The sequence below is a fragment of the Homo sapiens genome, chromosome 4 (genome assembly GCF_000001405.40).
Source record: "Homo sapiens chromosome 4, GRCh38.p14 Primary Assembly".
Classification (NCBI taxonomy): domain Eukaryota; kingdom Metazoa; phylum Chordata; class Mammalia; order Primates; family Hominidae; genus Homo; species Homo sapiens.
The window spans coordinates 128,982,908-129,010,538 of record NC_000004.12 but is presented as its reverse complement, the minus strand read 5'-3'; the positions used below and the strand labels follow the sequence as shown (position 1 = coordinate 129,010,538).

The following is a 27,631-nucleotide window of genomic DNA, read 5'->3' as shown; positions in this document are numbered from 1 at the left end:
AGAAAGCATCAATATTGTAAAAATGGTCATACTGCCCAGAGCAATTTATACATCTAATGCTATTCCTATTAAACTACCATTGAGATTCTTCACAGAACTAGAAAAAACTATTTTAAAATTCATGTGGAACGAAAAAAGAGTCCAGATAGCCAAGGTAATCCTAAGCAAAAATAAGAAAGCTGGAGACATCATGCTGCCTGACTTCAAACTATACTGCAGGGCTACAGTAACCAAAACAGCATGCTACTGGTACAAAAACGGGCACATAGACCATTGCAACAGAATAGAGAACCCAGAAATAAAGCCACACACCTACAACTATCTGATTCTCGACAAACCTAACTCAAGCAATGGGGAAAGGACTCCTATTCAATAAATGGTGCTGAGATAACTGGCTAGCCATGTGCAGAAGATTAACAAACATTAACTTAAGATGGATTAAAAACTTAAATGTAAAACCCCAAAGTATAAAAACCCTGGAAGACAACTTAGGCAATACCATTCTGGACATAGGAGTGGGCAAAGATTTTATTAAGAAGATACCAAAAGCAATTGCAATAAAAGCAAACATTGACAAATGGGATCTAATTAAACTAAAGAGCTCCTGCACAGCAAAAGAAACTATCAACAGAGTGCACAGACAACATACAAAGTGGGGGAACATTTTTGCAAACTGCATCTGACAAAGGTCAAATATCCAGCATCTATAAGGAACTTAAATTTACAATAAAAATCAAACCTTATTGAAAAATGGGCAAAGCACTTGAACACCTTTCAAAAGAAGACATACATGTGGCCAATAACCATATGAAAAAAAGCTCAACTTAATTAGAGAAATGCAAATCAAAACCACAATGAGATACCATCTCACGCCAGTCAGAATGGCTGTTAAAACATCAAAAAATAACAGATGCTGTTATGGTTGCAGAGAAAAGGGAATGCTTTTACACTGCTGGTAGAAACAGAAACTAGTTCAGCCACTAGTGGAAAGCAGTTTGGATTCTTTTTTTTTTTTTTTTCTTTTTGAGACAGAGTCTCACTCTGTCGCCCAGGCTGGAGTGCAGTGGCGCGATCTCAGCTCACTGCAAGCTCCGCCTCCTGGGTTCACACCATTCTCCTGCCTCAGCCTCCCAAGTAGCTGGGACTACAGGTGCCCACCACCATGCCTGGCTAATTTTTTTTTATTTATTTAGTAGAGATGGGATTTCACCATGTTAGCCAGGATGGTCTCTATCTGCCTCATGATCTGCCTGCCTTGGCCTCCCAAAGTGCTGGGATTATAGGCGTGAGCCACCGCGCCCGGCTTGGATCTCAAAGAACTCAAAACAGAAGTGCCATTTAACCCAGCAATCCCATCACTGGATATATAACGAAGTAATAGAAATCATTCTACCATAAAGACACATGCACTCACATGTTCATCGGAACAGTTATTCACAATGACAAAGACATAGATCAACCTAGATGCCCATCAACAGTGGACTGGATAAAGAAAATATGGTACATATATACAATGGAATACTATGCATCCATAAAAAAGAACAAGATCACGTCCTTTGCAGGAACATAGATGGAGCTGGAGGTGATTATCCTTAGCAAACTAACAGAGAAACAGAAAAGCAAATACTTCATGTTCTCACTTATAAGTGGGAGCTAAATGATGAGAACACATGGACATGTAGAGAGAAACTACACACACTGGGGCCTATCAATGGGTGGAGGCTGGGAGGAGGGAGAGGATCAGGAAAAAGAATAATGAGTACTAGGCTTAATACTTGGGTTGAAAATAATCTGTACAACAAACCTCAGTGACACAAGCTTACCTATATAACAAACCTGTACATGTACCCCTGAACTTAAAAGTTAAGTAAAAAATAAATTCAAAAAAATTTAAAAAGAAAATATGGAACAAAATGTGGTAGTGAAAAGAACTAAAATTCGTGTAATTTGAATCCCAGAGAGAACAGGAAAGACAGAAATAATATTTGAAGAGACAATAGCTGAAAAATTTCAAAAGTAGCAAAAGATCTGTGGATTAAAGAAACACCATGCATCACAAGCATGATAATGCAAAAACATCTACAAAATCAAAATCAAAGAAAAATTCTCACAACAGAGATTATCCTCAAAGGAATAGCAGTAAGATAACTGACTTTTCAACAGATGTGATAGAAATCGAGAGACATGGAATATCTTCAAAGTGCTGAAAAGAAAAGAAACCAAAACTGTCAACTAAGAATTGTGTGCTCAGCGAAATGTTCTTCAAGAAGGAGGGTTAAATAAGTACATTTTCAGATGAAAACTGAGAAAATTACCGTTGACAGAATTAATCCAAATCCCAAAAAAGAAGGAAAAATCATCCTAGAATAAAGTTTGGAACTATGGAAGGGGTAAATATGGGAGAAAATCTAACGAGTATAAACTTTTAAAAATAATAATAATGGCTTTAAAATGTTTGAGGAGACTTGAAATATGAGCCAGCAATACCGTACATTTAGGAAGAGTGTAAATGGAGTTGAGATAGTCTCAGGTGCTTACATTATCCATTAGAAATAGGATACTAATTTATAGTAGAGGGTGGCAATTCTCAGAGGCATGTTACGATGTCTGGGCTGAGCACTACAGTAAACTAAAAGATTCTATCACTTCCAAGCTCATGGAGCAGGAAAGTGGAATAATAAAATGTAATTAATTCCAGTTAATAAGAAAGAATAGGAACAAAAAGAGAGGTGTTTTGTTTTGTTTTTTTAAAGTCAAGACATATAGGAAATACTAAGGTAGTAGATATAAACCCAGATGCCTTAGTAATTGCATTAAATTTTGCTGTACTACATGCTATAATTTTAAGAGTGATTTACCAGAGATTAACTAAATGAACCCACAATTACATGCTTTTAACCAAGGAGATTCGTAAAATACAAGAGTACAGAATGGGTGAAAATAAAAGGATAGAAAATATGTATACCATGGAAGTGCTAACTGAAAACATGCTGGTAATATCAGACATAGTAGAATTTAATGTGAAACAGATGATTACAGATTAAAAGGCGGTTTCCATAATGATACGAAATTATATTTGCCCAAAAGATATGACAGTTCTGAATGTGTAAGCACTCAATAACAAAGACTCAGAATACAAAAATGTGATAGCACTGAATGGCAGAACAGACAAATGCACCATTATAATAGGAAATATGAGCAGGTTGCTCTCAGTAAATAAAATAGCAACCAGAAAAAAAAACAGTAAGTTAAGATGCAATATTTGAATAATGCAATTAAGAAATCTCTTAAGGGACATATATAGAATACTAATACCGAAGACCTTCAAAATATGCATTCTCTAAGTACACGTGATAGTTTTCTGAAATTGACCAACTCAAAAAAAAAGCAACTCTCAGATTATAAAAGGATTGAAATTATTCAGATTATGTTCTTTGATGACAGTGAAAATTATGCTAGAAATCAATAATAAAAAGGTAACTAGAAAATCCTCAGCTTTTTCTAAGTTAAGCAGTATGCCTCTAAATGTTACTCACAGGTCAAAGAACTCACAATGGAAGTTAGAAAATATTTTCAACTGATTAATAAAGAAAATAACATAACGTCGGCGTTGCCACTAAGGCGATTCTTAGAGGGAAAGCTGTAATCTTAAGAGTATGTATTAGAAAAGAAAGTCTAAAAATAATGATGTCTTAGAATTTGTTGAAGAGGTTAGAAAAAGAACAGCAATCTAAACCCAAAATCATATAACACCTCGGGAACAGAGCACACTCGGTGAGAGACAGCAAGCATTAGAAACGCAAGATTGGACATCTATTCCCCAAGTATGCCAGATACTGAAGCAAACAAAATTAAACTATGTATAGGTAGTCCTTCCTTTGTATGAAGTGTAAGATTAAAAAAATGACCTTGCAAGCTGAAACTGTACAAAATTATCTTAATAATCAATGGGGGACAATTACGATATTTCTGTGACCTTTAAATTTTTTTTTTTTTTTTTTGAGACAGAGTCTTGCTCTGTCGCCCAGGCTGGAGTACAGTGGCTTGATCTTGACTCACTGCAACCTCCGCCTCCTGGGTTCAAGCAATTCTTCTGCCTCAGCCTCCTGAGTAGCTGGGACTACAGGCACACGCCACCATGCCCGGCTAATTTTTGTATTTTTAGTAGAGACGGGGTTTCACCACATTGGCCAGGCTGGTCTCGAACTCCTGACCTCGTGATCCACCCACTTCGGCCTACCAAAATGCTGGGATTACAGGTGTGAGCCACCGAACCTGGCTAAAAATTTTAAGACCCTAAAAACTGTCTTACTGTCAGTTATAATTATACTGCTTGTTATAACTACATTTTTTTATTAAATGAATTTTTTTTATTATACTTTAAGTTTTAGGGTACATGTGCACAATGTGCAGGTTAGTTACATATGTATACCTGTGCCATGCTGGTGTGCTGCACCCATTAACTTGTCATTTAGCATTAGGTATATCTCCTAATGCTATCCCTCCCCCCTCCCCCCACCCCACAACAGTCCCCAGAGTGTGATGTTCCCCTTCCTGTGTCCATGTGTTCTCATTGTTCAGTTCCCATCTGTGAGTGAGAATATGCGGTGTTTGGTTTTTTGTCCTTGCGATAGTTTACTGAGAGTGATGATTTCCAATTTCATCCATGTCCCTACAAAGGACATGAACTCATCATTTTTTATGGCTGCATAGTATTCCATGGTGTATATGTGCCACATTTTCTTAATCCAGTCTATCATTGTTGGACATTTGGGTTGGTTCCAAGTCTTTGCTATTGTGAATAATGCCGCAATAAACATACGTGTGCATGTGTCTTTATAGCAGCATGATTTATAGTCCTTTGGGTATATACCCAGTAATGCAATGGCTGGGTCAAATGGTATTTCTAGTTCTAGATCCCTGAGGAATTGCCACACTGACTTCCACAATAGTTGAACTAGTTTACAGTCCCACCAACAGTGTAAAGGTGTTCCTATTTCTCCACATCCTCTCCAGCACCTGTTGTTTCCTGGCTTTTTAATGATTGCCATTCTAACTGGTGTGAGATGATATCTCATTGTGGTTTTGATTTGCATTTCTCTGATGGCCAGTGATGATGAGCATTTTTTCATGTGTCTTTTGGCTGCGTAACAAAGAAATAAGACACTTTAATTCTCAGTGTTTCTGATATTTTAAAGTACAGTGTACTAAATATTAATTTTACTATTTTTTCATTTCATTTTACAATCAATTTAAAGGATTAGGATAATTGATAAGTTATGATGCAGATAACCATATGATGAAAATGATGGAATATTATGTCATCTTTAAAATATTTGCAGAAAACTTTTTAGAATGTGAGAGAATGCATATGTCTGAATACTACGGTTAAAAAGACAGATTATAGTATTAGCAATACAGTATGTCATTGGTCTATTTTTAATGGAAAGTAAAAATTCTGCTAGAAAATATATTACAGAATTAATAATGGTTTTTTTCATAGGACTTGGGGTATCTTTTCTAAAACTTGTTATATTTCTATACTGATCATTTTCTCTATTAGGTAAACATTTCATATAGGAAAAATAAAAGTTTTTAAAAACACTGTTAGATATTTAAAAATAAAAACTGTCTTAACCAATACTTGTAAGTTTTTTAATTAGAGAATAATTTTCAAGCTCTGTCCTTTCTTCAGAGTAATTAATTTTTTTGTTTCTAAAGTGTTTACCTTCTCAGTTTTATTGTATTTGATGAATTTTGTTTTCAATAAATATGTTTTGACATCAAGATTTAAGTTTTCTTGTTTCAAAGGAGATTTGTAATATTAGTAAATCATTCACCTCTAAATGTTTTAGGTAGATGGATGTAGTTTATTTTGTTATTTTCACTTTGTAATGTATTTACTATAAATATTTTCTGCTTATGATTATATGAAATAAGAGTGTTTTCTGAAAATGTACTTTTTTTCTCTTAAGTATGTATTATTTTAAATTAAAACAATCATTCTTTTAAGTTGTACCTTCCTTGCTTTTTTTTGTAGTTAAGGCATGAAATATCTGTAATTTACCTTAATGTTAAGATTAAAGTCAATTTTAAGCCTTTCAGTATTATTGTTGATCTTATATAAGGATGTGCTGAAAAATAAAGCTTCTGATGTCTTGGTTTTATAGCCAGCGACCATTTTCTTCTCTTTGCTTGTTAACTGGAATTAGTAAGAAGTCCAGTGAGTTTGGTGAAACACGCTGAAGAAAATAGCAAATAATTCTACAGGATTTAATATATAATTTTCATTTAATTGACTAGATATACATAGATATTTTAGAATTTTTCTGAATGGCTTATTTTATCATTTAATAAGAGATAATATCTGAATTTTACTCTTTTGAAAATTTTTGAAAAATTGAAACCTCTCTAGGACAAACTGAATCATGCTTCAGTTAATTGTGATCGATTTAATGCATTGAAATTGTTATATAATCTTTTGATTCTTATAGCACAGTATTTAATGGTAATTAAACACTTCTAATTTTTTATTTGAAGTCTACTTAAAAATGATTTTGTTTAAAGAGTTATTGTTGACCCAAATGTTTAATTGACCTCGAAACAGTAATTACTGTTACGAAAATGACTTGAGGCTATCATGTTAACTATTTGTTTCAAAGGTTGCACAGTGAATTAAAAGATGCTGTTGAAAAAAAATTGGAGGCCTTTCCCCTGGGCACAGAGGTAGGAACTGACATATATGCAGATGATGAAACAGTCAGAAACCTTCAAGAACAATTGCAGCTAGCCAATCAAGTGAGTGACATGTATTTTTAAAAATTATATTCTGAATTAACATACCTTTTTAAAAATTCATGTTAATCATTATTTATGGATAACAAAATAATAAAATTGTAACATTATGATTTTTTACAGTTTATAAGAATCGTTACAGGTAGCAACACTTGTAATAAATACCCTCACTGTTAGAAACGTACTTGCCAAATACCCTCACTGGTTGTTACAAATGTGTTTAATTAAAATCATAAAGATTTTGACGTGAGTTTTTTTCTTATGAGAATATTTTTTCTTTCTTTTTTTTCTTTTTCTTTTTTTTTTTTTTAATTATACTTTAAGTTCTAGGATACATGTGCAGAACGTGCAGGTTTGTTATATAGGTATCACATGCCATGGTGGTTTGCTGCACCCATCAACCCATCATCTATGTTAGGTATTTCTCCTAATGCTATCCCTCCCCTAGCCCTCAACCCCACAACAGGCCCTGGTGTGTGATGTTCCCCTCCCTGTGTCCATGTGTTCTCATTGTTTAACTCCCACTTATGAGTGAGAACATGCAGTGTTTGGTTTTCTGTTCCTGTGTTAGTTTGCTGAGAATGATAGTTTCCAGCTTCATCCATGTCCCTGAAAAGGACATGATCTCATCCTTTTTTATGGCTGCATAGTATTCCATGGTGTATATGTGCCACATTTTCTTTATCCAGTTTATCATTGATGGACATTTGGGTTGGTTCCAAGTCTTTGCTATTGTGAATAGTACTGCAATAAACATACATGTGCATGTGTCTTTATAGGAGAATGATTTATAATCCTTTGGGTATATACCCAGTAATGGGATTGCTGGATCAAATGGTATTTCTAGTTCTAGATCCCTGAAGAATTGCCACTCTGTCTTCCACAATGGTTGAGCTAATTTACACTCCCACCAACAGTGTAAAAGTGTTCCTATTTCTCCACGTCCTCTCCAGCACCTGTTGTTTCCTGACTTTTTAATGATCACCATTCTAACTGGCATGAGATGGTATTCTATTGTCATTTTGATTTGCATTCCTCTAATGACCAGTAATAATGAGCTTTTTTTCATATGTTTGTTGCCTGCATAAATATCTTCTTTTGAGAAGTGTCTGTTCATTTCCTTTGCCCACTTCTTGATGGGTTTGTTTTTTTCTTGTAAATTTGTTTAAGTTCTTTGTAGAGAGAATATTTTAATGTCAATGAAAATTTTTAAAGGAAAAAATCCATTATTTCTCTAAATTTGTATTTTTCAGTGTTCTTTTTTCTGATATTGTTTTCAGAATATTAAGAGTACTATATTTTTCTAACATTATATTTCTTCTAGAATTATACTTTTTCTTTTTCTCTCATAGTAATTAGAATCTTTGAGCAGCTATGTTAAATATATCCTGTTTTTCAACTAATTTTTTGTGAATTTTATTCATAAGGGAATTGTATTTAAATTTACAGTGTTATATCCCAAATGTTTCATATCTTGTATGGGTTTAAATCCCCATTCTTCTACTTTCCAGGTGTGTGATCATAGAAAAAAACTCTTGTGCCTCAGTTTCCTCATTTATAAATGGGGGCTACAAATTCTAAATTACAATTTTGATTTGATAATTATCTGAAAATTCGGTTTTATTTCCTGAAAATTTGGTTTTAAAATTCTATAATTATGAAAGTGATATTTTAGGTAAGTCAGAAAGGCTATATTTAGCTTGATAAGGAACATGTATTTAACACTAATTTTTTTTAATGTATGAATGGAAAGAATTTTTAAATATGATGAAAGAAAGAAATAATGAGGAAAGCATGCTGTTTGTTCTAGACTAGGAAAGATTTATAATTGATTTCATGGGATTAAATAGAAATTAATTTAGGCTTATATGTCTAGCACATATGTACGTTAATAAATTTGCCTATTTATCATTATTATCATTATTGAACAGCAAGACTCACAAATAAGAATTAAAATTATGTACAAAAGGTGCTGTGTAGTGTATATATGTTGCTTTAGGAGCCAATAGCAATAGCACAATGCTAAGTACCTAGCTTAATATTTTCAGTTTAAAATATTTTTTCTGTTACAGTATGATTTGTAGAAATCTTTCTAGAAGTCAGTTTGGAAGAAGAGCCTTAGAAATGTTTGCATTATTTGATCCAGTAATTAGATGATGACACCACATAGATTTTATGAATTTGTTCTAAAGAACTGAATATAAAAATTTTTGAATAAATATATTCATTATAATATTTATCGTAATGAAACATTTGACATAGTTTAAAAATCTTAAATATGGAATCAGTTAAATTGTAGTTTGTCCAAATAGTAAGTTGTACCATTTTTAAAAATTATATAGTGTACATCATAATCACTTGAGGGCTTTTTGAAACATGGATTTCTGCTGTGCCTCCCCACCCCCCCACCACCCCAGTTTCTGATTCAAGAAGTCTGGGAAAGAGCTCAATAATTTACATCTCTAACAGTTCTGAGGTGTTGCTGATGATGCTGATCCTTTAAGAACCACTGCTCTAGGAGAATCTGGGTTGTGTAACTACTAGTCTAGGTGATTTTTGTCGTCAGACAGGTCTGGAGAAACAGTGGGACATTTTGAGGTATGAGGCATTTTTACGACCATTTTACTGAAAAGAAAACTTGAGTCTTAAGGAAATGAAGTGAATTATCCAGGACTATTTAGCCAGGAATTAGAGATCACACCCATATCTTCTGGCTCCATATTCTGTGTTTATCTACAAATTTTAAAACCGCTTTTAAAATTTTTAATTAGCCTACAGTTTTTGTTTTTTTTTTTAAGTTTTAGACAAAACTAATCTATGGTGTTAGGAACACGAGGAAATGGTTATTTAGGAGAAGAGTATAGTAACTGGAAGAGATCACAAGAGGGTCGTCCAGCTTCTAGGTGATGGTAATGTTCTTTCTCTTGAACTGGGTGCTGGTTACATAAGCGCACTTGCTTTATAAAAATGTACAATTTGTTCATTTTCTGAATGCATGGTATACCTCAGTGTACTCCAAGGTGCCTTATGTTTTTTGTGGGTTACATATCTATCAGTATTTATTGTATTACAAATTAAAACTGAGACTTAAAAAAAAAGTAGGAGCATAAGCATGTAGTCCATTAGCCCTTAGAGCAAGGATGGCATCACATCATATAAACTTTAGAAAACTTCACTGTACATTTGTGAGAGGATGAGAGTAAAAAGGCGAAAAATGTTAACATATTATTCTGAAGATAAATTTGACTTCTAGGACCTTTCAAAGTTTAAAAGTTTCTGTACCACACTTAGATAATACTGTATGCAAACAATAGTGACCTGAGAAAATTATAATTATAAAATCATTATAAAATGGCAAGTAAAAATAGCCCACTATATTGTCCCTAATTTTGTTAAAATAATTACAAAATTCTCACCCAGAATCACATTTATAAACATGAATGCATCAACATTTAAAAAGATGATTTATCTAGATATTAGCAATATTTATTATCAGGTAGTAAAATTATAGGTGATTCTGATTTTCTCCTGTTTTTCTCTGTATTTTCCTAATTTTCCACAATGAAAATTTATTACTTTTATGATCAGGAAAAAAATATTGTACTTTACCAGGAGGCAGTTTTCTTCTTCATCAGTTTCTAGGGCTTATACTTTCTTGTGGAACAAAGAACATGGTTTAAATCTACATCTCTGTTAAGGATTTTAATTTTAGCTAAATCTGAGTAAAACCACAATTTCAAAATAAGGAACTTTATGTCTTCAAGTTTACTCTCTAAATTATTAATAATAAAACTTCATATCAAAAATATAACTATAATACCATCTTTACACAGTTCTATTTTATTTTATGACTTTATAAGAACTTATTCTATAAAAGAAAATGATCCATTTGTACTATACAATAAATAGCCTGCTGATAATTTAATGAGTTATCAAACTTTTTTAATAGGAAAAAACTCAGGCTGTGGAACTCTGGCAGACTGTTTCTCAGGAGTTGGACAGACTACACAAGCTTTACCAGGAACATATGACTGAGGCCCAGATTCATGTATTTGAAAGTCAAAAACAAAAGGTAATCTTGGATTTCATCATTTTCTTGTATATCAATAAGAAATTGCACTCTGAAGAAACTGTTTTAGAGGGGAACGCTTAAGACTCTACCCTATAGCATTTAGAATTTCTAATCACTTTATTATTTATGTTAATAATATATAGATCTTTGATGGTTACACTATTGAACAGGTAAACTAATTAGAGAACTGGACAGTGATCATTTGGTTCTATAATGTTGTCAGCAATGAAAGCTGAATTTAGTGCTAAAGAGCAACTTTAACATTATTTTGTATAAATAAACCTTCAAAGTTTTTATTTGCTTGATTTCCTACCTGACTTTTAAAACAAAACAAAACAAAATTGTTTATTAGTTTATGGCCAGTGAAGAAACCTGCTCAAATACAGTGGAAACACTATGTAAAATCAAATGTTAATACCCTTAAATGTGACCTGTTACTAAAATAGGTGTCAATTTTGTCTATCATAAATTAATCAGAATAGAATTTTACAACAGGAAGGTATCTTAATGGTTATTAAAAGACTTTTTTCTACCCAAAGCAAGAATCATTCTACACTCTTTCAAAGTGGACATCTAGCTTTAGCTTTTGCTTTACACGTCTATTGACAAGAACTCATTATCTCACAAGGCCATCTATTCCATTTGGAAATCTACCTCTTTTATTCTTCTGTTGGTTCTTTTATTGCTAGGTGCATTGAGCACTATGGAGGAATTCTAATTCTGACCTCTTTTCTATGTATTTTGAGAGGAAGCTCTTTAAATAAGTTGGTTTTCATACCTCTCTTCAGCTCTCATTTACAGACTTTTCAAATTCTGGTTAATGAATATTCCTATTATTGTAATTATAATTAGAAATATCTACCTAAAGAAATTGTAAAAATACTTATGTGATGCTTTACAGTTTACAAAATGATTTTTCTTTACATGCCCTGGCTTGAAAAAAAGTCCACATGTAATCAATCTGATTTGTTGGACTTTTACCTCTGAGATTTAAAAACCATTTTTCATATTAAGTTCTTTGAGGACTGTTTCCTCATTTAGGTCAATCAACTAAGCCCACAAGGTTGGGTTTTTGTTTTGTTTTCACCTGAATAATATCATTCTTTTACTATAGCTACATAGTTTGATGGGTCCTTATACAAGACTTTACAAATAGCACTTCATTCTTTTTTCCCTGGTTATCTATTTAATTCTGTCTTTCAGTATATTTACAGCCTCTCCCAACTTTGTGTCGTCTGTACAAATAATGTTTAATAGAATCATAACAGCTAATCAAACAATTTTTAAAATGTGGGGCATGAGAATGTTTTTAAAAAAGGTGGGCAGTAACTCCTGTGCCATGGTTTGTATTATAGGTTTTGAGTAGGTTTGAAAGTGACGTTCCAATATTGGACAAGGTCTCTCTAGCATTTAGAATTTCTAATCACTTATAATTTTTTATGATCTCTTTCTTCAAGTTTTAAAATAATATTTAATAAATGATTTCTAGAAATAATTATTTGACATAAAATAAACAGCCACATTAATTTCAGCATTGCCACTTTAATTTTTTAATCATTTAAAAAATTTCTTAGTTTTTCAACTACTAATTCACACAATAGTAATAAGAAACACTACTAATTTTATCTAAACTTAGGCATAATGATTTTAGACTTGATTTTAGTTTAATTTTAAATATGGGTTATAAACAACAAAATGCTATTTATATACTCCCCTTACCTTCCCACTGTAGGATCAGCTATTTGATTTTCAACAACTGACCAAACAACTTCATGTTACTAATGAGAACATGGAAGTGGTAAGTATACTTATTTATATAAACTAGAAATTGTCCCTATAAATAATCATATTTATTTATGTTAATATAAATCAACAATAAGCATGCTGCACGAAATTAGATAATACTGTTTTTTCTTTTGCTTTTGCTTTCTCATTCAATAGCATGACACAGTTTACAGTACCTTTTGGAGATCTAACATCTCTCTGAAATATATCTTAATCTGGAAATCCTCTTAGGATTCTTAGTAAGGTCTCCTTAGACTAATCTAGACAGTGAGTTCCTCAAGAGTAGAGTACATGCTTAATTTTTTTTATTTCACCTGACACACTGCCAGGTATTTAATAAGAATAGTGTAATTGTTTAATGAATTAATAGCCCATTGCCTAAAAAGTTTTAGGAAACTAAGGACCATGTGTTGGTATGGTACTCCTAAATTTCCCTATAAGTTTCTCCTAAAATAAATAGAATTAGTCTTTCCAGTTCTGCTCTTTACCTTCTTATTCTCTCACTTTTGTTTTCTTTACTTTCTTGGAATGTTATTTTTACCTCATTGTTGAGTAATAGAATTATGACACTTCAGGTAATTCCTCTCTCTTTCCCTTCTTCATTCTTGCTTAGTTACTCTGCTAATTCTTGTTAGTACCTAATAAAAATGTCTTTGTATAACAATGGATTTGTGCTATCAAAAGTAAGTATCCAATTTTATTCTACTTTAAAAATTTTTCTTTTTTAACCATGTAAAAAATTATTAAACCAATCTGTACCTATTCTGTTAACATTTGAAGTGTCTAATTACATACAGTTTTTGATACTATATTATACTTCTTAGAGTTTTAAAATACTAGTACTCCAGAACAAAATGGTTACTGATTTCTATAATTAAGAAAGGCATTTTTTAATTTAATATATTTCTATATGGAATTAGTACTTTAACCTAGCATCATAATTATTCATTACTTCTTCAATATGTCTCCTAGAATTGGAATTGTATCATTCTTTGATATATCATATCACAGAGCCCCTATTTTATTATGATTTTGATGAAAGAAAGTCATGGGAAAAGGATGTTGTATATTCCAAGGGAATATGTTAAAAATTTCTAAGGCAGAAGTATTCATGGTTCCAGGTCAGAGCTAAGAATAAACTGGATACGAGAAAACTGATAAAGAAATGGCATGATGAATAAAAGAGAGTTTTATAAAAATATAGAAAAGACTATATAGGTGGTTAAGATAAAAGTAAATGGTTGAAAGAAATTTTAAAATTTAAGTTGTTCTTAATGTATATAATGAATAGCAAACAAGACTGATAAGTATAAAGGGAGCAAGCAAAGTGATAAGATCTTGTACAGTTCAAAGAGCATTCAGAACATAGTTATGGGGGCAAGTATGAGTCAAGATCAAACTTGAAGAAAAGTGCCCTTTAAAAATCAAGAAGTTTCCAACAAAAAATTTTCTGATTACACGAATAAACTCATTAAATGAATAGATTTTTATAGATGTAGAATAAATTGATGAGTATGCAGTGAGTAAATAAACTGTCTTTCAATATAATTTGACTAACATGGCAGAGTAGGACATCCTGGACACTCCTTCTCCCCACAGATACACCAATTCAGCAACAATTCATGGACAAATTTCCTTTGCAATAAATCAGAAATGAATGGAAATGTTCTCACTTCCTGGGGGATTGGAAAACCAGACTCACCAAAGCTAGCAGGGAGATTTGAGACCCTCTCTTGCTAGGCACCCTGTCCCCAGTGCCGTGCCATGTGATCAAAAAAAGACCCCTTAGCTCCCAGCTTCACCCAGGGGAGGGAAGGGATTAGGTATGTGCATTCATCACCCCAAATTTTCTGAGGGTGGTCCCCAGAATACTGGCCTCTATCTTGCCAGTCTCGGAGCTCACAGATCCAGCATAGTCTGGCCAACCAAGGGAGAATGGAGGCATTGGTTTGGACTGATAGTTGGCATTGGTCCTGTGCTCTTCTCAGCACAGAGTAAGTAGATGAAAATTCAGTTCTCAACTTTCCCCTAGGGAGGGGAAAAGTTGATCCAGCACTGCAGCTTCTCTAGGGCAGCCCAGAGAAATAGCATCTGTCTCACGAAGCTCTAATAGGTCCAGCATGGTCTAGACACCTAGGGAAGAACAGAGACAGCAGATTGGGCTGATACATGCTATAGTTCCCTACCCCCCAGCTCATCACAGAGCAAGCAGACAAAGCCACAGCTGCCAGCATCTCCCTGGGGAGGGAAAGAGTTGGTAGAGGCCTGCTGAATCTCTGGCCAGCTGATTTGTGGGGGTCTTCTCTTGTATGACACTAATCTGTGAAGACTGGGAGAGGTGCCTGCTTTCTCTAATGTACGGACGTGAGCACAAAGTCAAGGAAAAATGAAGAACCAGCTAAAGATGTTCCATACAAAGAAATAAGATAAATCTCCAGAAACCAATCCTAATGAAAAGAAGTTATGAATTACCTGATAGGGAATTAAAAATAACTCTCATGAAGATGCTCACCACAGTTAAAAGAACAATGTATGAACAAAGTGAGAGTTGCAACAGAGAAAAAATATTAAAAAGTAGCACACAAATTATGGACCTAAAGAACACAATAACGGAATTAAAAATGGAGTTGGGAAATCTAGATATTCGTATTCAAAACATGATTTTGGACTCTTATCTTACACAACACACAAATATCAACCCAAAATGGATTAAAGACTTAAATCTAACACCTCTTACTTATAAAGTTCTTAGAAGAAAACCTAGGGGAAAATCTCCATGGCATCGGTCTTGGCAACGATTTCATGGATATGACACCAAAAGTACAGACAGCAGGAAAAAAGTAATCAAGTGGGACTGCATCAAACCAAAAAGTTTTTGCACAGCAAACGAAACCAGCAGAGTGAAAAGGCAACCTATGGAATGGGACAAAATATTTGCAGACCGTATATCCAATAAGGGAATAATCTCCAAAGTATTTAAGGAATTTCTATAACTCAGCAGTAAAAAACAAAAGACACACAAAAAAACCTAATAAGTTGATTTTTAAATGAGCTAAGTACTTAAATAGGTATTTTTCCAAGGCAATGGGTATGTGAAGAAATGCCCAATGCTCGATGTCACTAAACATTAGGGAAACATAAATACTAAAACTACAATGATGTATCACCTCACACGTGTCAGAGGGATTATTATCAAAACAAAAAAGACAACACGTGTTGAAGAGGATGTGGAAAAATTGGAAACCTTGAACATTTTTGGTGGGATTGCAAAACGGTGCATCTGCCATGGAACACAGTATAGAGTTTCCTCAAAAAAATAAAAATATAACTACCATATGATCCAGAAATCCCACTTCTGAATATTTATCCCAACGTATTGAAATTAAGATCTTGAAGAGATATTAGCATTCCTGTGCTTATTGCAGCATATTCACATTAGCCAAGATACGAAAACAACCTTAGATGTCCATCAAAGAGGAGTGGATTAAAATGTATAAACATACAGTGGAATGCTATTCAGCCTTTAAAAAGAAGGAAATTATGCAATATGTGATAACATGAATAAACTTTGAGAGCATTAAATGAAATAAGCCAGTCACAGAAAGACTAAACACTGTATGATTTTACTTATACGAAGTATCTATAGTAGACAGATTTATAGAAACAGAGATTGGAATGGTGACTTCCAGGGCCTTTGGTGAGAAGAAATGGGGACTTACTAATCAACACACATGAAGTTTCGGTCAAACAAGATGAATAACCTCTAGAGATCTGTGCAATATTGTACCTGTAGTCAGCAATAACGTATTGTACACTTAAACATGTTTTAAAAGTGCATAACTCATGTAAGTATTCTTACTACAAATTGATACAAATAAATATCTTTCTTTACCAATGCAAATTAGTAATATGCAATAGATATGCTCTGACATGAATGGTACATAAAAGTATATATTTCTATTTATTATGCTGTAGATAGATTATAATTTTACATTTCCCATAGGTTTGCTTTACTGAAATGTTTTTTAAGATTTGCTCATCTCTATAATTTACTCAAAAATATTTAATTGCATACTAACTATCCTGCATGAAAGTATAGGTTCTCTAAGTTGCAAAAATGCATCAACCATAAAATCTCTGTCTCCGTGGTAAAACAGGCTGACATATGAAATAATCAGTGAAAAAGGTGCTAAATAGATGATGGTTGAAAAGGATGCTTCCCTGCACCTTCTCGAGTCTCCTAATTCTAAAATATTAATATAGTACATAATTTTCTTTATGGTCATAAATATAGAACAACAATGCCATATTCAGATGCAGTTGCGGAGCTCTTACTAGGCTTGCTAGCAAGTTAAGCACCTTGGTTTCCAGCACTAGATTCTTAAAATGCAGAATTTTAGCTTATACTTCTGTTAATTGCTCTATGTAATTCTATCTTTGAGGTGTTCCCAAATGGTCAAAAACACAAGCATTAATTATGCTAGTGCCAAGGCAGTATATATAATAAAACACTAGTTGTGCCTGTGATGTACTCAATCATGTGCCAGGCACTAGGAGTTCTGGGAAAAGCTGATCCTTTAAAAAGGCTCATATTTTAGTCAGGAATACCTACACTTTAATATTTAAATATAATGTGCACTGTAAAGGCATGTATTAAGTTTTATCAAAGTACAGAAAGGAAACAGTTAATTCTACCTGAGAATGAGTAAACCACACATGGTATTGAGGAATGAATGCAGACAGAATGAGGACATCCTGGGCAGAGGAAAATACGATAGTATGTTAAAAATATGAAGTCAGTGAGCTCAGAGCATGAGAGAAGCACAATGAAAGCTATCTCAGGGACTTTAGTTGGAGAAATTTAAGCATGGTATGTTGGGACAGGATTAAATCAAAACTATTAAGATCAATCGGGAGCAACCATAATATATAAAGAAAAGGGATAAGGAATTTGTATCATCATGGATAAAACCAGCAGTTATGGAAGAAAATCAATTCCCTTAGGAAAAGTTTTTCTACATCTAGAAGACTACTTCATATCTTACTGTGGATTTCTCCAGAAGCTGACCTTCAGGAAAAAGTTCCAAAACGTGTCATTTATTTAGTAGGTAATACCAGGGAGCACCAGTAAGAAGGTGGGGAAGTGGTATCAAGAGAAGAGAAGACAGCCAATAAAGGGCTTTTTAAAATTAAGCAAGTTAACACTGTGAGTAACTAAAACTTAATGAATTCTGAAAGACAGTGTAGAACACAAGCCTCAGAATTATTTCACCCATGCAAGAAGGGAGTTTGGGTTTTTTATATACCAGTTCCCTTCAGACATGTCAGGCTGCTCAGAACAGGGTGGAACATTAGTTCTATAACACTTATAGCTTTATGCCCAGGTGGATAGATGAGCAAAAGAGATTCAGATAGCCAAAGAAAGCCATAAGACAGGAATGCAGGTGTAGGTAGTTTCAAGTGAAGCAGGTATCCAATGAAGTAGTAAAGGCAAGGAAAGAAGGCCAAGGTTATGTTTTACCCTCAAAAAATCTAATCTTTATCATAAATCTCACTAAACTTTTTTTCTACTTGTATGTCTGATGTGTCATCTTTAAAGATACAGTTATTAAATATTCTAATACTGATTCTTTTTTTTTCTTGTGGCAGACTAACCAACAGTTTCTGAAAACAGTAACTGAACAAAGTGTGATAATCGAACAACTCCGAAAAAAACTTAGGTATTTTCAAAAATGAGTTTCATTATTTCATTGTTAATTATTTTTCTTCAGGGGAGCTGATGATGCTATAATTTTCCCCATGGGTGTTTTTTTGCCTTCCTTTTGTTAAGCTTCTGCCAATATCTTCTTGTGTATATGATCTGTTAGGATGGGAAGAAACTGAAATCAAGATTATTAGGAGATAACTGTGATATACAGTCAGACCTTTAAATACACAGATGTTCAAGTCCTTTATATAAAATGACAAAGTATTTGTATATAGCCTATGCACATCTTCCCATATATTTTAAATAATCTGATAACTTATAATACCTAGTATAATGTAAATGCAAATAGATTATATACTGTATTGTTTAAAAATTTTTATTTTTTATTGTTTTAAAAAATATTTTCAATCTGCAATTGGTTGAATCCACGAATGGGGAACCCACAAATCATCTGAGCATTTTTTCATATACCTATTGTCCATTTATTTGTATGTCTTCTTTTGCAAAATTACTATTCAGGTATTTTGCCCATTATTTGTTCTTTTTCTTCCTCTCGAGTTGTTTTAGCTCCTTATATATTCCAATTCTGGTTATTAATCCCTTGTCCAGTGGGTAGTTTACAAATATTTTCTTCCATTCTGTGGGTTTTTTTATTTACTTATTGTTTCCTTTGCTGTCCAGAAGCTTTTTAGCTTGATACGATCCCATATGTACATTTTTGCTTTGGTTGCCTGTACTTTTGAAGTCCTCCTCAAGAAATCTTTACCCAGATGAATGTCTGGAGTGTTTCCCCAACATTTTCTTCTAGTAGTTTCATAGTTTCAGGTCTTAGATTTAGTCTTTGATACAGTTTGATTTGATTTTGGTATATGGCAAGAGATAGGGGTTGAAAATGCGTTGACTATAAATGCATTGATTTATTTCTGGGTTCTCTGTTCAGTTCATCTGTGTCTGTTTTTATGCCAGTACCATTCTGTTTTGGTTACTATACATTTGTAGTATAATTTGAAGTCAGTTAATGTGATGCCTCTAGCTTTGTTCTCTTTGCTCAGGATTGCTTTGGCTATTCTGTGTCTTGTTTGGTTCCCTTTAAATTTTAGGATTTTTTTTCTATTTCTGTAAAGAATGTCATTGGTATTTTGATTGCATTTAATCTATAGATTTGATTGCTTTGGGTACTATGGATATTTTAACAATGTTGATTCTTCTGATTCATGAACATGGAATATCTTTCCATTGTTTTGTGTCATCTTCAATTTCTTTCATCAGAGTTTTATAGTTTTCTTTTAGAGTTATTTTACTTCTTTGGTTTTTTGTTCCTGAGTATTTTGTTTTATTTGTAGCTATTGTAAATGGGATTACTTTCTTGTTTTTTTTTTCAGACTGTTCAGTTGGCATATGGAAATAATACTGATTTTTGTTCGTTGATCTTGTATGTGGCAACTTAATTTATCCAATCTAATAGTTTTGTTGGTTGAATCTTTAGGTTTTTCTAAATATAAGATCATGTCATCTGCAAACAAGGATAATTTGACTTCTTCCTTTCCAATTTGGGCTCCCTTCATTTCTTTCCCTTGTCTGACTGTTTTGGCTAGGACTCCTCATACTGTGTTGAATAACAGTGGTGAAAGTAGGTATCCTTGTCTTGTTCCAGATATTAGCAGAAAGGCTTTCAGTTTTTCCCCATTCAGTATGATATTACCCGTGGGTTTGTCATACATGACTTTTACTTTGTTGAGATATGTTTCTCCTATACCCAGGTTTTCTTTAGAGTTTTTATCACAAAGAGATGTTGAATTTTATCAAATACTTTTTCAGCATCAATTGAAATTATCATATGGTTTTTGTCTTTTGTTGATACATCACATTTATTGATTTTCACATGTTGAACCATCCATGCATCCCTGGGATGAATCCCACTTGATCATGAAGAATGATCTCTTTAATGTGTTGTTGAATTGAGTTTCCTAATATTTTGTTGAGGATTTTTGCATCTGTGTTCATCAGAGATGTTGGCCTATAGCTTTCCTTATTTTGTTGTGTCTTTGTCTGGTTTTGGTAGCAGGGTGATACTGACTTCATAGAATAAGTTTGGAAGTATTCCTTTCACAATTTTTTGGAATAGTTAGAGTAGGATTGGTATTATTTCTTCTTTAAATGTTCAACAGAATCCAGCAATGAAGACATCAAGTCCTAGTCTTTTCTTTGATGGGAGATTTTTTTATTGCCACTTCTATCTCCTTGTTTGTTATTGGTCTATTCAAGTTTTGTATTTCTTCATGGTTAAATCTTGGTAGGTTGGATGTTTCTAGGAATTTATTCATTTCTTCTAGATTTTCTAATTTATTGGCATATAGTTGCTCATAATAGTTTCTTATGATATTTTGAATTTTTGTGGTTTCAGTTGTAATATCTCCTTCATCTCATTTTATTTACCTGAGTCTTCTGTATTTTTTTTTGGATTGGCTAAAGGTTTATTGATTTTGTTTGTCTTAAAAAAACAACTTTTTTTCACTTATCTTTTGTATTTTTTAGTCTGAATTTTATTTATTTCTGCTCTGCTCTTTATTATTTCTTATACTAATGTTGAGTTTGGTTTTCTCTTGCTTTTCCAGTTCTTTAAGATATATCCTTAGGTTGTTTATTTGAAGTTTTTCTACTTTTTGATGGAGGTATCTATTGCTATAAACTTCACTTTTAGTACTGCTTTTGCTGTATCTATAGGTTGTGATACATTGTGTTTCTATTTTTATTTGTCTCAACAAATTTTTAAATTTCCTTCTAAATTGGTTAATTGACCCAATGGTCATTTAGGAGCGTATTGTTTAATTTCCTTGTTTGTGTGGTTTTCAAGTTCCTCTTGTTACTGAATTTTAGTTTTATTCCTTTGTAGTCAGAAAAGATACTTTATATGATTTCAGCTTGTTTGAATTTTGGGGACTTGTTTTATGGCCTAATATATGTTCTGTCCTTGAGACTGTTTAATATACTGAGAAGAAAAACATATATTTTTCACCTGTTGGATGAAATATTCTGTAAATGTTTATTAGGTCAATGTAGTCTATAGTACAAATTTAATCTGATGTTTCTTTGTTGGTATTCTATGTAGATTATCTGTCCAATTCTGAAAGAGGGGTGTTGAAGTTCTCAGCTGTTATTTTATTGGTGTCTAACTTTATCTTTAGTTCTAATATTTGCTTTATATTATCTGGATGTTCCAGCATTGAGTACATATATATCTACAATTCTTATATCCTCTTGTGGGATTGACCCCTTTATCATTATATAATAACATTTTTGACTCTCTTTACAATTTTTGTCTTGAAATCTATTTTATCTGGTGTAAGTATAGCTACTCTTGCTCTTTTGGGGTTTCTGTTTGCATGGACTGTCTTTTTCCATTCCTGTATTTTCAGTCTTTGGGTGTCTTTATAGATGAAATGAGTTTCTCGTAGGCAGCATATGATTAGGTCTTATTTTTTATCCATTCAGCTACTCTTTTTTTTATTGGAGAATTTAGTCCAGTTACATTTAATGTTATTAGTAATAGGAAAGGACTCACTACTGCCATTTTGTTACTTTTTTTCTGGGGTTGTATTGTTGGTCCTCTCTTCCTTCCTTTCTGTCTTCCTTTGTGTAAAAGTGACTTTCTCTTGTAGTATATTTTAATTTCTTGGCTTTTCAGGTTTTTTTGTATCTATTATAGGTTTTTGTTTTTGTGGTTACCATGAGGCTTGCAAATACTATGACCAATTGTTTTAAACTGATGACAACTTAACTCTGATTATAAAGAAAAATAAGCAAAGAGAATTTAAAACTCCAACTTTAACTTCATCTCCCCTGCTTTTTGATTTGTTGTCTCTATTTACATATATTTTATATTGTCTATCTCTTCAAAAGTTGTAGTATTTATAATTTTTGGTAAGTCTGTCTTCTAGTCTTCTGATGAAAGGTATTAGTGGTTTATACACCACCATTACAATTAAAGGAGTCTAAACAGAGTTAGAATATTCTGTATTTGTCTGTGTACTTACTATTGCCAGTGAGTTTTATATCTTCAGATGATTTCTTGTTACTAATAAACATCCTTTTCTTTTGAATTGAAGAACTCCCTTTAACATTTCTTGTAAGACAGGTTCGGTGTTGACAAAATTCATAAGCTTTTTTTTTTCTGTGAAAGTTTTCATTTCTCCTCTATGTTTGAAAGACAATTTTGCTTTTACATATTATTTGCTTCTCTTCTCTTGCTGCTTTTAAGATCCTTTATCCTTGACCTTTGAGACTTTGATTATTGTATGTCCTGAAGTAGTCTTATTTGTCTTGAATCTGCTGGGTGTTCTTTGACCTTCTTGTACCTGGATAGTCATATCTTTCTGTGGGTTTGGAAAGTTCTCTGTTATTATGTCTTTGAATAAACTTTCTACTCTCATCTCTCTTAGTACATCCTCTTTGAGACCAGTAACTCTTAGATTTGCCCCTTTAAGACTGTTTTAAAGATCTTGTAGGCATGTTTCATTCTTTTTTTTCACCTCTGAGTGTGTATTTTCATATAGCCTTTCTCCAAGCTCATGGATTCTTCTGATTGATCAGTTCTGCTTTTGAGAGAGTGATGCATTTGTCAGTTTTTCAATGGGATTTTTCAACTCCAGAATTTCTACATGACTTTTAAAAAATTATTTCAATCTTTGTCAAATTTCTGATGGGATTCTGAATTCCTTCTGTTGTCTTGAAATTTGTTGAGCTTCCCCAAAACAGCAATTAATACTTTGAATTCCTTGTGTGAAATGTCACATATCTCCGTCACTCTAGGATTGGTCACACTGGTGCCTTATTTAGTTCATCTGATAAGTCATGTTTTTCTGGATGTTCTTCGTGCTTGTGGATGCTCATCGGTATCTGAGCAATGAAGAGTTAGGTATTATAATTTTTGCAGTCTTGGCTTGTTTGTATTCTTCCTTCTAGAGTGGGCTTTCCACGAATCCAAAAGAGATTGAGTGTTTTGGCCTAAGCCTGCAATTATTGCAGCCATTTCAGAACATTGCAGCCATTTCAGAACATTGCAGAAGCCATTTCAGAACCATTCCTAGGCTTAGATTCCTAAGCCTAGGAATGCTGCAGCTCTTAGATCCTCCTACATACACAGACTTGCTAGACTTCGGTAAGATGAGGGATAATTCCCTGGGTAACCAGGCAAAGTCTCTTACTCCTTCCCCAGTCAGAAGGAGTCTCTCTGTACACTGTGCTGTCTGGAGTTGGGGAGAGGTGACGTGCCCACTCTCATGGCTACCACAGCTAGCACTACACAGAGTCACACCCGAATCCCTTCAGACCAGTACAATACCGGGGCTAACCCAAGGCCTGCAGCCACCACTGCCTGATGTTTATTCAAGGCCCAGGACCACTTCAGTTAGCAGGGCATGAATTCTGCTAGGATGGGGTCCATCCCATCAGAGGAGTGGATTCTCTTCTAGCACAGAGTGAGTCTAGAAACGCATCCAGGTGCAAAAATCTAGAATCTGGGACTTCAGAAATCTGCTTGGTGCCTTTACTGTGGCTGAGCTCGTCCTCAAGTTGCAAGACACAGTCCTCTATACTCTTTCTTCCCCTTTCCCTGAGCAGAAAGAGTCTCTTTGGAGCAGTACTGCCTGGAGTTTGGGAAGGGATGACACAGGCAATCCTTTGGCTGCCACTGCTGGTCACACTGTATTGTACCCTAAGTGCACTGCCTCTGAGACCAGTGCAGCACCAGGGCTTGCCTTAGGACTGCAGTCCTTGTGGCCTGACTGCCACTTAAATTTATTCCAGGCCCAGGCTACTTTAGTCAGTGGTGGTGAAGGCAGCAAAGACTTGGTTTTCTCCCACTGGGACGGTGAATTCTTCTCTGGCCTGGGGCTGGTCTAAATGCTCCCTCCATGGGTGCTGGTGGAATTCTAGCCTATGTTGTGTTCCACTGTGACAGGGCAGCACTGAATTCTAATGCAAAGTTCAACACTTACTTCACTCTCCCTCCCCCTAGCACACAAATTATCTGTCCACTCTGCACTGCCTGGGGCTGGGGGCAGTTTGTATGGGTAATGAAAAACTGTCTTTCCTACACTCATCGGTACCTCTTTCCTTGATATTATGTTCAAACCAGGTATTGTGATCACTCACATGATTTTTTGGTTCTTATGAAGGTGCTTTCTTATGTGGGTGGTCATTCAATTTGTTATTTTTGCAGGGGAATGGTTGTTGGAGAGTTCTACTCAGCCATCTTGCTCTGCTTCCTCTCCTTAGAGAAATATTTCTTAATCGAGATTTAGGCTGGGCACAGTGGCTTATGCCTGTAATCCCAGCACTTTGGGAGGCTGAGGCGGACAGATCACCTAAGGTCAGGAGTTCGAGACCAGCCTGGCCAACATGGTGAAACCCCATCTCTACAAAAATTAAAATTAGCCTGTCATGAAAAAAACAAAAGATTTAAATACAAGCCAAAAAGGAAAAGATTTCTTTACTTGTATATGTTAAGATATTAGGCTTCTGTTACAAAAACAATATAAGTCAAATGAAAAGACAACTCATAGTCAGTGAGAAGACATTTACAATGCGTGTATTGTAACACAACAGATTAGTGTTAAGGACACATTAACTGATTAAGTATCAATGAGAATAATTAACTCATCGAAAATTAGGCAAACGATATGAATAAGCATTTCAAAAGTTACAGCAATCAGGAAAATGCAAGTAAAAACATGATACTACTTCACACTCAGCAATCAATGTAAAAATGTGGAGTGTAATAAAGAGGCCAAAAAATTACAGTGTGATACAGTTTAAATCTTTTAAACAATAGTGTGTATTGATCATCGATATATGTATATGGATATATCAATATATATTCAAAATATGTAGTAAAAATTATATATCTGTTACATATATATGTAGTGTATGTGTGTGTGTATTACAAGAGAATAAAGTTCCATTCCCAGAAATGATATATCCTTACTTCAAGTTAATGATTGTCTCTGTGGAATGAGGCTATTTGTGGAAGTAGAGAATTGAAGGCAACCTAGGTATTTGTCACTAAGGGAATGAACAGTAAAATGTGATAATTACATCCTGTGGAAGGAATACTGTGCATCATTTAGAAACACATATTTACATGTAAAGATGTAGTTAGAGCAACATGGGTAGAACTAGAAAACAGTGTTTATATTTAAAAAGTAAAATATATGGATCTATAGCATAAAACATATGCTTGTAATAACAATATATATTTTACCAGTAAATGTGTATATCTGAGGATATATCACATTTTAGTATGAACTTATGAAATGGAGGAGAATGAGAAAGGGATTGGGAATGAGCAAAAAAACAAAAATAAACAAATGAGAATATCTTTTACAGCTGATAATGATAATAGGTCATGGAATGAATAGTGTAAAAATTCAACTTTACATTCAAGGTTAAGAAAAGAGTGGGAGGAAAAAAAGGATATAAGATTTTTGGCATATGTAGGATAAATTAGAAGGTAGAGATCCTGGAAGGATGAGTAAGGAAACTGGTTCATAAAGACCTGCAATCATATTATAGTAATGGAAATAGAGAATAAAAATGCATATAAAAAAATCTATATAGGAAAAATGGGCAGAACTTCGTAATATTGAGCTAAAGGACAGGGGAAGAATCATGAAATTTTATTGCTAGAAGGTATCTTAATGTTCATCTAGTTTGACTTCCTAATTTTATAGAAAACTCAAAGTGAACCAAAGGCTTAGAAACTATTTGTCTTGTCCAGAGTTGCACAACAAATTCATGGAAAAGCCAAATTAGAACTCACATCTTGTAACTGCTAATCTAGTGAGCTTCTAAGCCTGGCTCTCTGACAGTATTCACAGCAGTGAGGAAGTCAAGTAGCAGAGTTGATTGCAGGGGAAAAAAGTATGATGAGTAGATACTTTGATTTTTGACATCTGCCTGGAAGATTCATTTAGTGTGGACATTAGGGCCTAAGGATTATAAATTGAGTTTAGAGATTGATAAAACTAGTTGCAGTTTTCCAAAGCCTAAAACGTCTTAAGTGTTTAATTGTCCATGAACAACTTTGCCATAATATTTACTGACAGTATTCCATAGCTTAACATTAAGCAGTTCAGAGTTGTATACATAAAACTATACTTGCTTTTCCTGCCACAGATTTGAAGGAACATAAGGATAAACAGATGCTTCTTTTACGGAAGAGAGTGTTGCTTTCAAGTATGACAGATTCTGAATGATGGGCATATTGACATTACCAGAATTTAGGTTTTGAGATGCTCTATATAGCCATGCCAAGAATAACTAAATTAGAAACTCCTTAAGTACTAGAGTTGTTTAAGTTTGTACTTATACTGAAACATATTAGTTTCATTTGTTGTCTGATAGTGTGGTGCAAAAAAGTTAAAATCATGTGAACTTATAATTAAAGCTTTAATCATATTTCATTTTGAGAGTTTTTGGTGATACCTTGTCATAGTAGATAAAACTTTTCAGCCTATTTTCTTAAGAACCTTCATTCACCTGATCCTCCTCAAACCTCCAGTTATACAGAAAAATAGTCATATTGCTGTTTCCCGCAGAACAACTTTTGGTAACTTCCTTTTTGCCTTAGATCATTCTGTTTCTCAGAAAATTTATAATTTTCTAAACCTAGCTAAAACTTGCCTTCTCCAGAAAGACTTCTCTCATTCATTCTACCAGATTTTTACTTTTTTATTCTTGTGAACCTACTCAGTATTTATTCATTTAAACTGAGATTTATACTGTTTTTCCAGAGGTGCTTTTTTTGTCTTATACATTTATTTATAATATATATCCAACTGAGTTATGATGATAATTATTTTCCAACTCTCATGTGCTCAGATTTTATGCCTGCCTTGTAAAGTCTTCGAAGGGAAAGATTGTCATTTATTATATCTTTCTAGGAATAACCAATGTTATCTTTTAAAAGGATGTACTATAAAGACTAAGTAGTGGCCGGGCGCAGTGGCTCACGCCTGTAATCCTAGCACTTTGGGAGGCTGAGGCGGGCGGATCACCTGAGGTCGGGAGTTTGAGACCAGCCTGACCAACATGGAGAAACCCCATCTCTACTAAAAATACAAAATTAGCCGGACGTGGTGGCATATGCCTATAATCCCAGCTACTAGGGAAGCTGAGGCAGGAGAATCACTTGAACCTGGGAGGTGGAGGTTGCGGTGAGCCGAGATCGTGCCATTGCACTCCAGCCTGGGCAACAAGAGTGAAAATCCGTC

At 33.8% G+C, this 27,631-nt stretch overlaps 1 protein-coding gene across 12 annotated transcripts in view; it reads left to right on the top strand.

The window, feature by feature from the left end:
- SCLT1 (sodium channel and clathrin linker 1) overlaps positions 1-27,631 on the top strand; it is a 220,299-nt gene that overhangs the window by 83,001 nt on the left and 109,667 nt on the right. For all 12 annotated transcript variants that reach the window (XM_047449590.1, XM_017007717.3, NM_144643.4 and 9 more), the window contains exons 6-9: positions 6,663-6,798; positions 10,745-10,867; positions 12,600-12,665; positions 18,302-18,372. In XM_047449590.1, coding sequence (XP_047305546.1) covers positions 6,663-6,798; positions 10,745-10,867; positions 12,600-12,665; positions 18,302-18,372 — 396 coding nt within the window. The remainder of the gene's footprint in view (positions 1-6,662; positions 6,799-10,744; positions 10,868-12,599; positions 12,666-18,301; positions 18,373-27,631) is intronic.